Source organism: Homo sapiens, chromosome 15, assembly GCF_000001405.40.
Source record: "Homo sapiens chromosome 15, GRCh38.p14 Primary Assembly".
Classification (NCBI taxonomy): domain Eukaryota; kingdom Metazoa; phylum Chordata; class Mammalia; order Primates; family Hominidae; genus Homo; species Homo sapiens.
The window spans coordinates 73261892-73276874 of record NC_000015.10 but is presented as its reverse complement, the minus strand read 5'-3'; the positions used below and the strand labels follow the sequence as shown (position 1 = coordinate 73276874).

Here is a 14983-nt window from a genome sequence, read left to right as displayed (position 1 = left end):
AGCTTCAAAAAACACTTATAAATGAGAGTTATTTCTACAAATAAAGCCTTACTAGAAATGTATAAACTAGGTGTTTCTGCAAAACATTAGAGCTAATGTCAAGTACTTCCATAAATTATCAGGAGATACATATATTCAATGAAATGAAAACATTAAAATCTGAAGTTTGTGTATGCAGTTCATCTAACAGAATAAATCCAGTGACTAAAACAATGCTATGCTTCCAGAAACTGAAAACCTACCAAAAGAAGGTAACAGGAGTTCCTGGATATCCAAAAGGGCATATTCTAGAATTTACTCACAGTCCCTGGCCCTTTTTCCATTGTCCACACATATTACTTTATCTCCTTACTTCTGATGCCATCATTTCTCCCAAGTGACACACACCATAGATTAAGAGTCCAGTTGTTCCTCATATGCTTTTCACTATGACAAAGTCTAGCTGGTGGAGATGGCTTAGCACCTGCAAGGCTCTTCAGGTTTAAGTGTACTTAGTTGACAGCTAGGCTACATTTAAGCCAAACTATCCAGAGCATTGGATTATGTACCTAATTGTCAAAGAACACACATTGCTAACAAACTGGATGGTTTATATTCCTGTATTTCCCAACATTGTTTCTCTTGAATGTAAACTATGAACAAGAAATTCCAAGGATGAACTGAGCACCAAAAATATCAATGAGTAAAGAATTTTAAATACCAGAGGTGTCAGGCAGCTAAGAATTGCACTCTGGCTATGGAATCAAGTGAGAAAACAATGAGCCCATTTATATTCTGTGCATATATATATTATGGGTATTTTTATATTCCTGCACTTTCACACAACAGAAAGTATGTTTGCAGTTTCTCCAATGTAGTGCAAAAGACTCACTGAATGCAAACACATTTCCAAAGTGTTCTGGAAAACTTGATACCTCAAGTTCTGACTCTTCCTTGCCATTAGCCAAGATCCAAATAACTTGCAATTCTAACAACTACTCTTAAACCAAGAGAGCAATAATTAAATTTACTTTTAATGTTCATTCTCAGTATGGAAAACATACTAGCATTAGCTGACTTCCTAGAGATAAAAATCACAAAATATAGCTATCCCTCCACCATGGCAGTTACAGTGTAAAGACTATTGACAGATGGTTTCAAGAATGGTGACATGGAGGCCCCTGTTTGCTAGGTCCCCATTTCAATTATCACTATTATTATTATTTATTTACTTTTTTTTTGAGACAGGGTCTCACTCTGTCACCTAGGCAGGAGTGCAGTGGTGTGATCACGACTCACTGCAGCCTCCACCTCCCAGGCTCAAACCATCCTCCCACCTCAGCCTCCGGAGTAGCTGGGATTATAGGTGCGCACCACCATGCCCAGCTAACTTTTTTTTCCTATTTTTTGTAGAGAGGGGGTCTCACTTTGTTGCCCAGGCTAGTCTTGAACTCTTGGGCTCAAGTGATCCTCCCACCTTGGCCTCCCAAAGTGCTGGGATTACAGGCCTGAGCCACCGTACGTGGCCTAAGTTTTTATTTCAAATAGTTTTGATCCTCTTTTAATATGATCAGATATATTTAAGGGGAGAAATGAAAAAAGAGCTCTGAATTAAGTTTATGGTAACAGAATAAACAAAGCAGTAATTTAGTCACACAGAATCACAACATTGAGTAAGGTAAATTTGTGGATTCTTTGTGGGAAGAGGAAAATAGGGTATTCACTGAATGTGATACAACTTTCCACTTAAAGACACTAATAAAATTCTAGATGCTACAAATATAAACAATTGGTATGATCAAATATGAACAACTGCTGCAAACATGAACAATTGGTATGATCGGTCTAATCATGACTTAAATGCTTATCGTTGTCACAGAACTTCAATATCTCAGCACAAAGGATGATCTGATCCACACTTAAGACGAATCTCCTACAGCTGCAGGACCAGTTTACTGGTTCAGTTTTCTTCTGCCAGCCTAGTTAGCTTCTACATAAATTCCCCAGCTTTTCAGAACATGGACTCAACTCTACTTTGGCCAATAACTGTGTGGCTTTTAACACATGGTGCTGATTTTTCAGGAAAAAAAAAAAAAAAAGAAACAAAAACCAAAAGCTAATAATAGGTCACAAAAGAAAGGAAAGAAAAGAGAGGCCATCTACTCATTTACCTTGATCATTAGGCATTTTATCAGAGGAGTCCGCTAACAGGCCAAGCACAGGGGAAGAAAAAACAAGAGCAAGGATCACAAGCTTTGAAGATGGGACAGGCAGAACTTTTTAAAGGAAAAAAACTAAAACCCCCACAAACTTCCAAACAAACTGAAACTTGACTTTAGTACTAACAGAAATTAAATTCATACAGGGCTTCCATAATTCCTTAGATTCAGTCCCCAGTTAAATTTTATTAGGCTAGGCTTACTTGGTTCAGTGCTTTATCTTCATTTTCTTATCTAGGGTTTTATTTAAAAGGCTCTTTTTAGTCTCTTTTTCTCTGTAACGTCCACAAATAAGTCTTTCAGGTTAATAGCCTGCCTGAGTTGAACTATCCATCACAAGAACACACTACTCTTTCTCTATATGGGAACCAAAAGAATCATATCTGATCTGACCAGTAAAAACTTTTAGATCACTGCAATTGATCTGCCCCAAATAGCCTGGAACCAGTGTCCTCTTTTATATGATATGTTTAGGCTGGTAACCCAGGGAGCACTGATTTGGTCAATGAGTAGGTGAGGAATCATTCTGGGATAAATCTTCACATCATGGCTCACAAGCTCATCATTAAGACTTCATATACTATCCACAGACTCTATATGCTCAAGTGATAGTGTCAGCATAGCCCCACTAAAGAGACACACAACAAAACCCTCAGCTTGGGGAGCATTACCTTTAGGTGTTCTGAATTGGACAGCTTCAGACATGGGTCCCATGCCCTTTGAGTTCCGTGCCTGGATTTTGAAGTAGTATGGTGTGTCAAGAGTTAACTCTTGTATCTGGTGAGTCAGTCTGTTTCCCACAACAGGCTCAATAACCCAGTCATGTATCTCTGCATTCACATCTGTACTGTAATATATGATGTAACCTGTCCAAAGGAATTAATGGGAAAAGAAATCTCACTCCTGCTTTTCCTTTTGCCTTCAGTAAATCAATAAGTACCTATTATATCATATGAATATTATAGCATAATATTTGAATAATGTACCCTCAAGGGTCTACAATTAAAATAATTCAGTTTTGAAAACCAGGAATTGCCTGACAGGCTGTTTTAGCTCTTACCGATGTGATCTCCTAGGAACTCCTGGGCAGAGCCACAGTGAACTGTCACCTGATACTTCCACCAGGGGGCACTTAATCCCCACATTGAGAAGGGAAGCATCACAACCATGAATCTATCTGACCCACAGCAAAAGGGCACTGCGCTGTTGCCGGTTTTAAAAGACAAAGTAAAATGTAATCCAAGTCAAGTCATGATTCATTCTTTCACAAAAGAGGCAAAGTCAAAACCTAAAAAAATGACATAAAGACCAGGATGTACAGAAAGAGATTCCTACTGAAAGCAAGAAGCAGGACAGTGCTAAGAAACACTTTCCATTTCCTTAGGCCACCTATTCATACAGAGGAACTTCAGGGCAAACCCCAGTTCCTCAGCACACACCTACATGGGCCAGAGGCGCCAAAGGAAGTAAGAGCAGCTGAACCCCATCAGGCTTCCATCCCTGATAAGGCTGAGGAAGGCAGAGTGTCCCCTCTACTGTGGAAGGTTTTCCTCTGAAAGTACAAGGAAAAAATTCCAGGTCCCTACAAAGACCTAGGCAAGTTCACTTTTAACTCTAATTATAAGAGCACAGGTACTTGAAGTAGCAGGTCTCGGGGGGCAGTGAAAAGGAATTAAATATCTAATGGGCTTTTTTTTTTTTTTTTTTTGTGGCTTCAGGGTACAAGAGCAGAATCTCTGTTTATTGGGTATTACTCTACAGAACCAGGGAGGGGGTATATAATTCTGAAGCTGTCCATCTAGGCGGAGACAGAGAAGAGCAGCTTTCCTAAGGAAAATAAATGTCTACAAAGTCCCACTATAGCCAAAGGCTGTCTAGTGCCTCCCATCCCCGACTGCAGTCAGAACCACCAACAGGCAACCCATTTTATGCCGCTATGGGCGACCAGCACAGCCTCACCCCAATTTCAAGGACCATCATGACTCACACCTTACCATAAAATGACCAAGCCAGCCTTCAGACTCCCACTTCTCCCAGCAACATGGTACTCTCCTGGAATACTCCTGTCAGGCAGGAAGAGCGCACAAAGAAATGCACACTTGATTGCATTTTACCTGTAATTTTGCCATTGGCTTCGGAGGGAGGCTGCCAATTCACAATTATGGTCTTAGGTTTCCCCTCTTTACTCACAACAGTCACATCCTTGGGTGGAGAAGTCGGAACTACAAAATAACAAAATTTTTAATAATTTCTGTCCATTTCAAATTAGTTCACTATTTCTTCAACCTTTTCCACTTGTAAGGCAAAATAAAGGGCACAAGGCAAAAAAGATAAAGCTTCTGGCTTCAAAGAAATCACAGTTTGTCTATCAAAAGTTCCAATCAAAAGAAGAATATTCAGAGTACCAAAGAGGAAATACCATACTATGAAGATACAGAATTGGCATCTTGGCTGGGAGTCAGGGATAAACAGGATAATTAGGTAGGAAAGTCAAGTGGCATTTGTACCAAGTACCTACCGTATACCAGGTAACGTACACATAGTATCTCACTTAGTATTTGTAGAAAATTTGAAAGGTAGTTATCACTATCTCTGCTTTATGGATCAGGACACCAAAAAATTAGAGAAGTTATGTAATTCGTCCAAGATGACTTCTTCCCTGTCACACTGGATTATTTTGTTAGAATACTGTAAATTGTAAAACAGTTTTCTCTCTCATTTATAGTTGGCTCTCCAAACCAAATATAGCTGTTTTTTTTTTTTTTTTTTTGAGATGGAGTCTAGCTCTGTCACCCAGGCTGGAGTGCAGTGGCACAATCTCTGCTCATTGCAACCTCTGCCTCCTGGGTTCAAGTGATTCTCGTGCCTTAGCCTACCGAGTAGCTGGGATTACAGGTGCGCACCACCACATCCAGCTAATTTTTGTATTTTTAGTAGAGATGGGGTTTCGCCATGTTGGCCAGGCTGGTCTCGAACTCTTGGCCTCAGGTGATCCGCCCACCATGGCCTCCCAAAGCACTGGGATTACAGGTGCAAGCCACCACTCCCAGCCCCAAATATAACTTTTAAAAGCCCTATTTCTTCAAAGAATAGATGATTTACAGATTAATATTTTTCACTATGAGTTTATTCTGCAAACATACTGCCAACTATTGAGGTTACAGCTCTAAAGTGAAGCTGTTCGTTTATGCAACAGGACAATACGTTTCCTGTGTTTCCATGTGATAGCTGAAAACTTTTAACACACTAGTAGGAAAATGAGCAAATTAAGTACATCCTTAAATTTACTCAACTCTTCCTAAAATACTAGAATTCTCTTAGTATAAAATGTAAGGAAGCCTGGTGAAATGCAAATATCCTAAGGGAAAACACAATCTCATTTGTTATCTAATGGGTTAGGATTGAAGTAAAAACATTTTCTTAAAATGGTTGGCAAAGAAAGCAAACTCAAGGTCTATTTAAACTTTGATGTACTGTATTTCTAACTCTTCAAATCCAACCCTTCTCTCTGTACAAAGTCCAGTGAACTGTGCAGAAGACAAAAAGACACTGAGGCCAAGCCCAGTTTGTGGAGAATTTATAACTCCATTATTCATATAGGAGAGAAATAGGAGGCCAAAATAGACAGAGATTTGAAATGGTTATGCATATCCCTAGACTAGGAAAGCCCAGGGGGTAGCAGAAAGGCATGTCTAAAAGTCAGCAAAAACCAAACAGAATCTCAAACCCAGATAGCCTGTTCTCTCTTTAATTTGCTTAGTCATCTTTTCCCTCTCGTGTCCACTTACAAAGACCTTAAGGATTATTTCAGTGGAAGATTTTATAAGACGCTAATTTGCTTGCAAGCAAACTGCAGAGGCAGCTTTGGGGTCACCCAGCAAAGTGTTCAGGCTCCAAGCAAGCATGGCATTGGAACTGCCTGGTCAAGGGCAGGTCACTTCATCTTTTCTATCTCAGTTTACCAGTAAAGCAGGATTAATGGCAATAATCCCTTACATCTACCCAGTGCTTTGTAATTTATCATGTTTTCCCTGTAGTATCCTGTTATTTGCTAATGTTCTTGTTCAGTAATTAAAAACACACAACTTGTCAGCTGAAATAGCAAACACTGAATTCCAAATGTAGTTGCTCACTGTGTTTTGTAAATATGTCAATTCAGGCACTCAATTCTTTCCTTGGGAAGTAAAAGCAGCCATGTGACATGGCTTCTGACAACACATACCTAATTCAAAGGTGGTCCCATGGGCTGTCATACTCCATGTACTTGATCTTCGACCTTTGGTCACCATCACAGAGAATTCATAGAGTGTATTCGGCTTTAAACCAGTCACCAAATAACTCAAAGTGGTTGCATTTGCATTCTGAAAAAAACATGAATTGAGACTTTAAAATTAGAAAGTATCAATGATTAGCTTTTTTCAGCCAGGGCAAATGTGTCAGTACCTTGTACTTGGTGTTTGCTGGGATGTTGGTTTTCCATCGGACGGTGTAGTATCGGGAGTCTGTAATCTTCTGGTGCTTGGGCAGCGAGTTGTCTGCCCACGTAATCCTGATGGTGTCATGACTCAGAATGGAAGCCTGAACTCCCACTGGTGGCATCATGGGAGTGGGATCTGGCACTGGAGTGTATGGAGCATTAATAACAAATAAATCAACTTCAGAAGTGTCTGAGCAGAAAATAATTTAAAAAGGGAAGTGGCATTTTAATGTAAACAAAAATAAAATAAAAGGGAAATGCAGGGTAATATAATGGAATGAAAGGTGAGAAATGGAGAAAAAGAAAGAAAATTCAGAGTTAATAGATAACCACCATTCATTTAAAAGACTATTTCCACTTGTGTTCTTTCAGGAAAAAATTACAGAAAAATGTTAAGAGAAGCAGTAATAAACTATATTCTCTACTGCATTCTATAGGCATATTAAAATGTTATAATCCAGTGATTATATTAATGTATTCGTGCTTGAATTTTCTTAAAATAACTTGAAAATTCTACTTCCTGTTCAAAAAGCCTCATGAGGCCAGGTGCAGTGGCTCATGCCTGTAATCCCAGCACTATGGGAGGCAGAGGCGGGCAGATCACCTGAGGTCAGGAGTTCAAGACCAGCCTAGCCAATATGGTGAAACCTGTCTCTACTAAAAATACAAAAATTAGCTGGGCATGGTGGCAGGTGCCTGGGGTCCCAGCTACTCGGGAGGCTGAGGCATGAGAATCGCTTGAATCTGGGAGATGGAGGCTGCGGTGAGCTGAGATTGCACCACTGTACTCCAGCCTGGGTGACAGAGCAAGACTCTGTCTCAGAAAACAAAAAAACCCCAAAACCAAAAAGGCTCACGAAGACAAAAACTGCTTTTAGAATCAGGGGTACAATTTCTAAACAAGCAATACAAACCTCATGGTTTGAGATTTCAGTGAATGTGGCTGAATTTTTGGGACAAGAGTTATCTGTGCATATCACTATTCATGTAAGGGTCCAACACTCAAACCTGAGTCTTGAATGTCAGCCATGGGTATTGACGGTATCTGATACCCACAAAGGGTCAAGTTCAGACCTCCTGATGTCCTGGGTCTAATGGCAGTACAGTGACATAGCTGACACCCAAATAAAGCAAAAGGAACTCAAGGGTGTACTCTTCCTTCAGGAAAGGTAAGCTGACACCATGCTGGACTATCTACCATAGTTTCTTCCACAGAGTCAGAGAACAACCCAGTGATGAATTCCCATCAGTTAACGGAAATGCCATGGTTATCACAGTTCCAAGTAACAAACTTCACAAACTTTAGAAATCAGAGTACTGTACAGTACTTATTTGATGGAAAGTCTATACTCATGGAGCTGTCCTGTGCCATATACAACAGACACCTTCTCTGAGGCCAGAATGAGCACAAAAGCACCATGCACCATGGGCCCAGGGCAATACAGCAGAATCCATACGGGCTTTCCCAATTCATGCTTAGGTTTTCTAAGTTTACACATACTGATTTAAGTTCACAGTTTACAATGGGTTTCTCACATAGTCATGGTGACTAGCCCTTATTACTCAAAATGTGGAATGGCATGGACCTTGTTTATGAATAATTGCTAAGCTAAAGTAATAGTCTCCATTTGTGTATTTCCTGTGCAATGAGGACTAAAAATAACAGAGGAGTAGCATACATTATATAACCAAGAGCTTTGTTCAAAGTTTGGCAGGACACATACCAATTAGTTACAGAAAATGCACCTTCAGGTGTAGAAGTCATTAGAATTCTTGTAGAAATTTTTTTTCTTATATGTAGCAACCCTTAGAAAACATATCTAGATTACATGACTTAGGAACATTTTCTTGTGTATTTCTAGCTAGTAGGCTATATTTTTAAGCCACATAAAAGGAAGTAATGTCAAATTTGTTTTTTACTATTATAGCCTGATTTTAGAAAGTAGCAGACCACTTATTTAAATACTTTTTCACTTAATTTTTGCTCCTTTTTGTAATACTAAAGCTATTTCTAAAAGAAATTATAAACTGTAAGCATATAGAAGACAGAACAGAACTACCAAACATGTAGTAGTCTTAAATAGAAGCTTAAAAAAAAGGACAGAGAATATTAGGCCCCCTGATGTTCTGGGTCTAATGGCAGTAGAGTGACATAGCTCACACCCAAATAAAGCAAAAGGAACTCAAGGATGTACTCTTCCTTCAGGAAAGGTAAGCCTTCCTTAAGAATGTTACCAAATCTGCACAATTATGCAACATATCCAGCAGATATCACTGGACAATAAAGAATCAAAATTTTTGGAAATAAATGAAAAAGAACATTTCCGAAAATAAATTCTTTGGTTTCCAGTGCCCTTTTAAAAAATTTATAACTCTAAGCAAAGACTTGGAACCAACCCAAATGTCCAATAATGATAGACTGGATTAAGAAAATGTGGCACATATACACCATGGAATGCTATGCAGCCATAAAAAATGATGAGTTCATGTCCTTTGTAGGGACATGGATGAAGCTGGAAACCATCATTCTCAGCAAACTATCGCAAGGACAAAAAACCAAACACCGCATGTTCTCACTCATAGGTGGGAGCTGAACAATGAGAACACATGGACACAGGAAGGGGAACATCACACACCAGGGCCTGTTGTGGGGTGGGGGGAGGGGGAGGGATAGCATTAGGAGATATACCTAATGTTAAATGAAGAGTTAATGGGTGCAGCACACCAACATGGCACATGTATACATATGTAACAAACCTGCATGTTGTGCACATGTACCCTAAAACTTAAAGTATAATAAAAAAAAGAAAAAAAATTTATAACTCTAACATATTCAATAAACTTTCTCTTTCAGATCTAAATTAGATGTCTTATATATCTATAGAAAAATTTACATGACATGTATATTACTTTATTTTAGAGATTTTTGTTTGTTTTGTTTTTTGAGACAATCTCTCTCTGTCGCCTAGCCTGGAGTGCAGTGGCACGATCTTGGCTCATTGCAAGCTCTGCTTCCTGAGTTCATGCCATTCTCCTTCCTCAGCCTTCCGAGTTGCTGGGACTACAGGCGCCCAGCACCACGCCTGGCTAATTTTTTGTATTTTTAGTAGAGATAGGGTTTCACTGTGTTAGCCAGGATGGTCTCGATCTCCTGACCTCGGGGTCTGCCTGCCTTGGCCTCCCAAACTGCTGGGATTACAGGCATGAACCACTGCACCCGGCCTTTAGAGATATTTTAAGTAGATAATTCAAAGAAAAACAATGAATATTTGGTCTCGTTTGTAATAAATGTATAACTGATCAAATGGATAGTACCTCTGACCTTATACTCAAGCTTACAAAAGGCACATAGAAAAACACTTTCCTAACCAACTCAGGTGGCTAGTAACCAAATGATGTTGGGTTCACGAATCGCATGCATTTATTGCCACCGTCAGTAACCTACATTTTTTGTTTTTGACTCACTTTAGTTTCAACTCACATGCCCAAAAGACGGAAAATCACTTTTAATTATCTAAAAACTCTGCTTTCCACATCCTAACAGATTAAAAACGTGTATATATCTACACAGAATGGCTTACGTGGCAGAATTAGAATCTTCCAAAAAAAAAAGCAAAACAAATTAACAGAACTTTCCATGCTGAAAGCCCACTTTCCCATTTGAAGTCAGCACCCGAAACTGCCATATGCTTTTTCTTCCCTAACACCTATGGGATAGGCCTCATGCCAATATTCTGCCTAAGCTGCTAGGAAAAGTGCTGGAGACTAGGAAAGATAGGATACCTTACCTGTGTGAGGCCTGGTCACAGCACTCTCATACAGGGGGATGCCTTCACCCACGTTATTAAATGCTTTCAGGGTAATCACATAGTGAGAGCTGGGATCTGAAAAAAAAGAAACACACATTAAAAAAATGCTCACTACAGAATTTTAAAAATTCAAGGGTGGCTGTGCATAATCTTAACCACAGAAGAATTCAAGAAAGACAACTTTAAAAATTTTTATGGGGGATTATTTCAGGTTGTAGGGAGATATGGAGATGGAAGTACACACAGTACAGAAAAACTGGCTGGGACCAACTTCCCGGATTTAGTCTCAGTAGAGGAGGTGGGCTGTGTTTGAATTCTCTCTTGGTCTCTCCTATGGTTTAGTGATGTTCAGGGTATGGTGTAGGGCTTGGCTGAGAATGAAGAGATAAGATTTAATGTGCTGAAGTCTATAGATGGAGCTTGGAATTAAACAAACCCCTTTCATTCCTGGAAGGACAGCGATGGGAACAGACAAGGTAGAGAAGAAGGAGATAAACTGTTAAGTCAGTTAAGTGCTCAATGTCCTTGACTCTCCAAGTGGCCTCCAAATCCAGAAATGGCCAAACCTCACCTAGCCATCATGCCTCATGAGCCATGCCTCATGTGGCTCAAAAGCTTAAAACAGCTGCTTTTCTTGGCGGCCCACCCACTCCCTAGATTGCCACTAGAGGGCAACAAATAGAGGCACCTGGTCTTCCTGTGTCAGAACTAACAACAAATGGAATCAGTAAGACTTACTTCGTGACTGGCAAGGAAAAAGTGCTTTGGGCAACACAGTAGATAGCAGTGTCATTCACTGAGATTGGGAAAAGGGGCAAGAGCAACCATAATACACATGTGCAAGGCTTGATTCTAGGTCCTCTTCTATTCCCACTCTTCGCTCTCACCCTATGCACTTTCATTCATTTCCTTAGCTTTGATTAGCATGTATGTGTCATCAATTACAAATACAGATCTCTAGTCTGGATCTTTCTTATGAGCACCAGACCTTTATGTTCAATTGTCTGTTTGGCATTTCCTCTTGGGTGTCTCAAATCTTTCCCTTCCCACCCTGCCTCCAGCTTCAGATCGGCTCCAGTGTCCCCTGGTTTAGTAAACGACACTACCACCAACCCTGCTGCTCAAGCCAGAAACCTGGGAGTTATTAAGACCTCCTTTTCCCTCATCCCCTCCAGACAAACAATCAAGTTTTGTTGAATCTACTACTTGTCTTCTCCCACCACTCTTTGCCTAGTTCTCTGTGCTCCATCATTACCGGCCACTTATCAGTTCACTGAGCACTGTGTTCTCTCCAACACAGGGCCTTCTCGCTTGCAGCTGCTCCCTATGCTGGGGTCACATCCCACTCTTCCTGTTTACCTAGGTAAGCGCCTATTCATCTCAAAGGGCTCATTCCACACTGGACTAGCCTCTCTAGTTACACAGCCCATTTCTCTCCCTCAGCACCGTGAACAATTTCAATTATTTTTGAATTGTATTATTTCTAATAATTGTGAGAACGTCTGTCTCATTCTCTGCTCTATCTCTAGCACAGTGTCTGGGACATTGTAAGTGTTTATTAAATATTTGCTGATTGATCAACAGGTTTGAGGGAGAAGGCATTAACTTTAATTTTGGGCCAGATGGAATATGAGATATATCCAGGTGCTGATACCCAGTAGGCAGATGTTTATATGGATCTGAAGGTCAGGGGAGAGTTCCAGGATGATGAATAGATGAATTGCTAACTGCATTTCTCCACCTCTCACTTGCTTCTTTTACTCAACATCATAGGCATCTTAGATCTATCTAGGTCAATAATTATAGCTCAAGCTTATTTTACTTTATGCTGCATTAATTTTTTTGCTACTCTGCAATGTGCACTCCATTTTCTAATAAATTCTATCTGCTTACTCTCTTCTGCACATGCAGCACTCCTCTCATCTCTCTATTTCAAACGCTATTTTGATTCTATCTTTCAAGCTCAGGGGTTTCTTCCCTGACTGCTCTACTGTGTCTTGCTATAGCGTTCTCCCTTCTCTGAACAAAATTCACTTCAACTCACTTCACTGTTTCTTGTGTTTTCTTTTTGTTCTGTTAGACTGAAAGCACCTGAAGATCAAGGACCATGTCCTGTCAATACTGCAAAGGAGTTTCACATCAGTAGTTGCATAAAGGAAACAGTATGAAGCTGGTCACTACAGGGACATTTTTTTTTTTTCTTTTCAGACAAAGTCTTGCTCTGTCACCCAGCTGGAGTACAGTGGTATAATCAGGACTCACTGCAGCCTTGACCTCTAGGGATCAAGCGATCCTCCTATCTCAGCCTCCCGAGTAGCTGGGACTAGAAGCACACACCACCATGCCTAGCTAATTTTTTAAATTTTTTGTAGAGATGAGGTCGCAATATGTTGCCCAAGTTGGTCTTGAACGTCTGGGCTCAAGCGATCCTCCTGCCTTAGCCTCCCAAAGTGCTGGGATTAGAGGTGTGAGCCACTGTGCCTGGCCAGACATTTTTATTCTACCAGCAAAGCTTTCCTTTTGCTAACAATTGTCTTAAAAGATGTTCACGTGGGGGATACATTTCCTAGGTTAACTGTACTGTTTCTTCCTTGTAAGGAAAAAGCTAAAGGTTACTTTTTTTTTGAATATTTAAATCCCAGCTTATTTTTTAACAGAAAGGATGAATATAACTCTTCTGTTAGGCACTTGAAGTTGTTCTTAGAAAAGATGTTTACAAAGAAACGATCTGAATGAAAATTTGGTCAGGGCAGATTTTAATTTTAGAAACAAGTGTTTCAAAAAAGATCTATAACGATAATCCAATTTGGAAAAGTAATTATACCTAACAAAATAAATTATTTATTATAAAATATAAATATTTCTCAAATTCTTTTGCTTTTAAAATCAACAATGAGGCCGGGTGCAGTGGCTCACGCCTGTAATCCCAGCACTTTGGAAGGCTGAGGTGGGTAGATCATCTGAGGTCAGGAGTTTGAGACCAGCCTGGGGCAACATGGTGAAACCCCATCTCTACCAAAAATACAAAAATTAGCTGGGCATGGTGGCGCAAGCCTGTAATCCCAGCTACTCAGGAGGTTGAGGCAGGAGAATCATTTGAACCCAGGAGGTGGAGGTTGCAGTGAGCTGAGATCGCGCCACTGCCCTCCAGCCTGGGCAACAGAGTGAGATGCTGTCTCAAAAAAAAAAAAAAAAAAAAAGTCAACTATGAGGTATAATTAGCATATAATAAAATGTATCCATTTAACTGTACATTTACAGTTTTGACAAATATATATACCTTGCATCATAACCACCAAAATCAAGATATAGAACATTTCCAATACTCCGAGAAGCTCCCTGGTGCCCTTGTAGTTGATTCCTAACACCCCTGGTTCCAGGCAACCACTGATCTTGCTTTGTCACTATAGATAAATTCTGCCTATTTTGTAATTCACAAAATATAACAGTGTTTGACGTCTTTGGTCAGCATGTTTATGAGATTAATTTCTGTTGTGTCTTGATAGCCTATTAATTGCTGAGTAGTACTCCATGGATATATCACGATTTACCACTTACCTGTTGATGAAAATTTGTTATTTCCCCTTGTTCATAAAGTTACTATGAACATTGTATATAAGCTTTTACACAGACATGTATTTTTATTTCTTTTAATTATCTACGTGTGGGATTACTGGGTTATAACTTTACAAGAAACCTCTAAACTGTTTTCCAAAGTGGTTGTACTGTCAAACATTCCTACCAGCTAGTATGAGCATTCCAGTTCTGTATCCTTGTTGATATTTGTTATTGCCAGTCTACTAACATTTAGCAATTCTAGCGGGTGTGCAATAGCATTTCATTGTGGGTTTAATTTGCATTTTCTGATGATTAATGTTGCCGAGCATCTTTTCATATGGTTATTGTCCACTCATATATTTTCTTTGGTATAGTGTCTGTTCAAATCTCCTGCCCACTTTTTATTGGGTTACCTTCTTATTATTGAGTTGTAAGAGTTTTTATATATTTTGGACTCAAATTCTTTGTCAGATATTTAAATGGTGGGTATTTTCTCCAAGTCTGTGGCTTGCCTTTTCATTTTATTGGTATGTTTCTAAAAGTAGAAGTTTTAAAATTTTGATGAAATCCAATTTATCAATTTTTAAATTTTATGATTTGTGCTGTTTTACAACCTAAGAGGTCCTTGCCTATCCCAAAGTCATAAAGATTTTTTCCTACACTTTCTTCTAGAATTGTTGTCCCAAAGTCATTGGGTCATTTGCATTTAGGTCTGTTTTTGCATATAGCGTAAGACAAGGGTTAAAGTTCCTTTTCTTTCTCATATGGATATCCAGGTATTCCCACAACTTTTGTTAAAAAGACTGTCTTCTCCCCACTAAATTATCTAAGCAGCTTTTCTAAAAACCAACTGACTATATACATATGGATCTATTTCTGGACTCTATTCTGTTCCATTGATGTATAACATCTTCCTTTACAATACCACCACTATGTCTCAA

The 14983-nt window shown here is 39.4% G+C and overlaps 1 protein-coding gene across 29 annotated transcripts in view; it reads right to left on the bottom strand.

Moving 5' to 3' along the window:
• NEO1 (neogenin 1) overlaps nt 1–14983 on the bottom strand; it is a 253515-nt gene that overhangs the window by 28332 nt on the left and 210200 nt on the right. For 11 of the 29 annotated variants that reach the window (XM_047432591.1, XM_047432587.1, XM_047432595.1 and 8 more), the window contains exons 17-21: nt 10464–10559; nt 6642–6817; nt 6421–6559; nt 4313–4420; nt 2870–3064 (exon numbers count right to left, since the gene is read on the bottom strand). In XM_047432591.1, coding sequence (XP_047288547.1) covers nt 2870–3064; nt 4313–4420; nt 6421–6559; nt 6642–6817; nt 10464–10559 — 714 coding nt within the window. Of the gene's footprint in view, nt 1–2150; nt 2184–2869; nt 3065–4312; nt 4421–6420; nt 6560–6641; nt 6866–10463; nt 10560–14983 lie in introns of all 29 variants that reach the window. The other 18 variants (XM_011521628.3, XM_011521633.4, XM_047432586.1 and 15 more) reach the window with 3 other exon arrangements.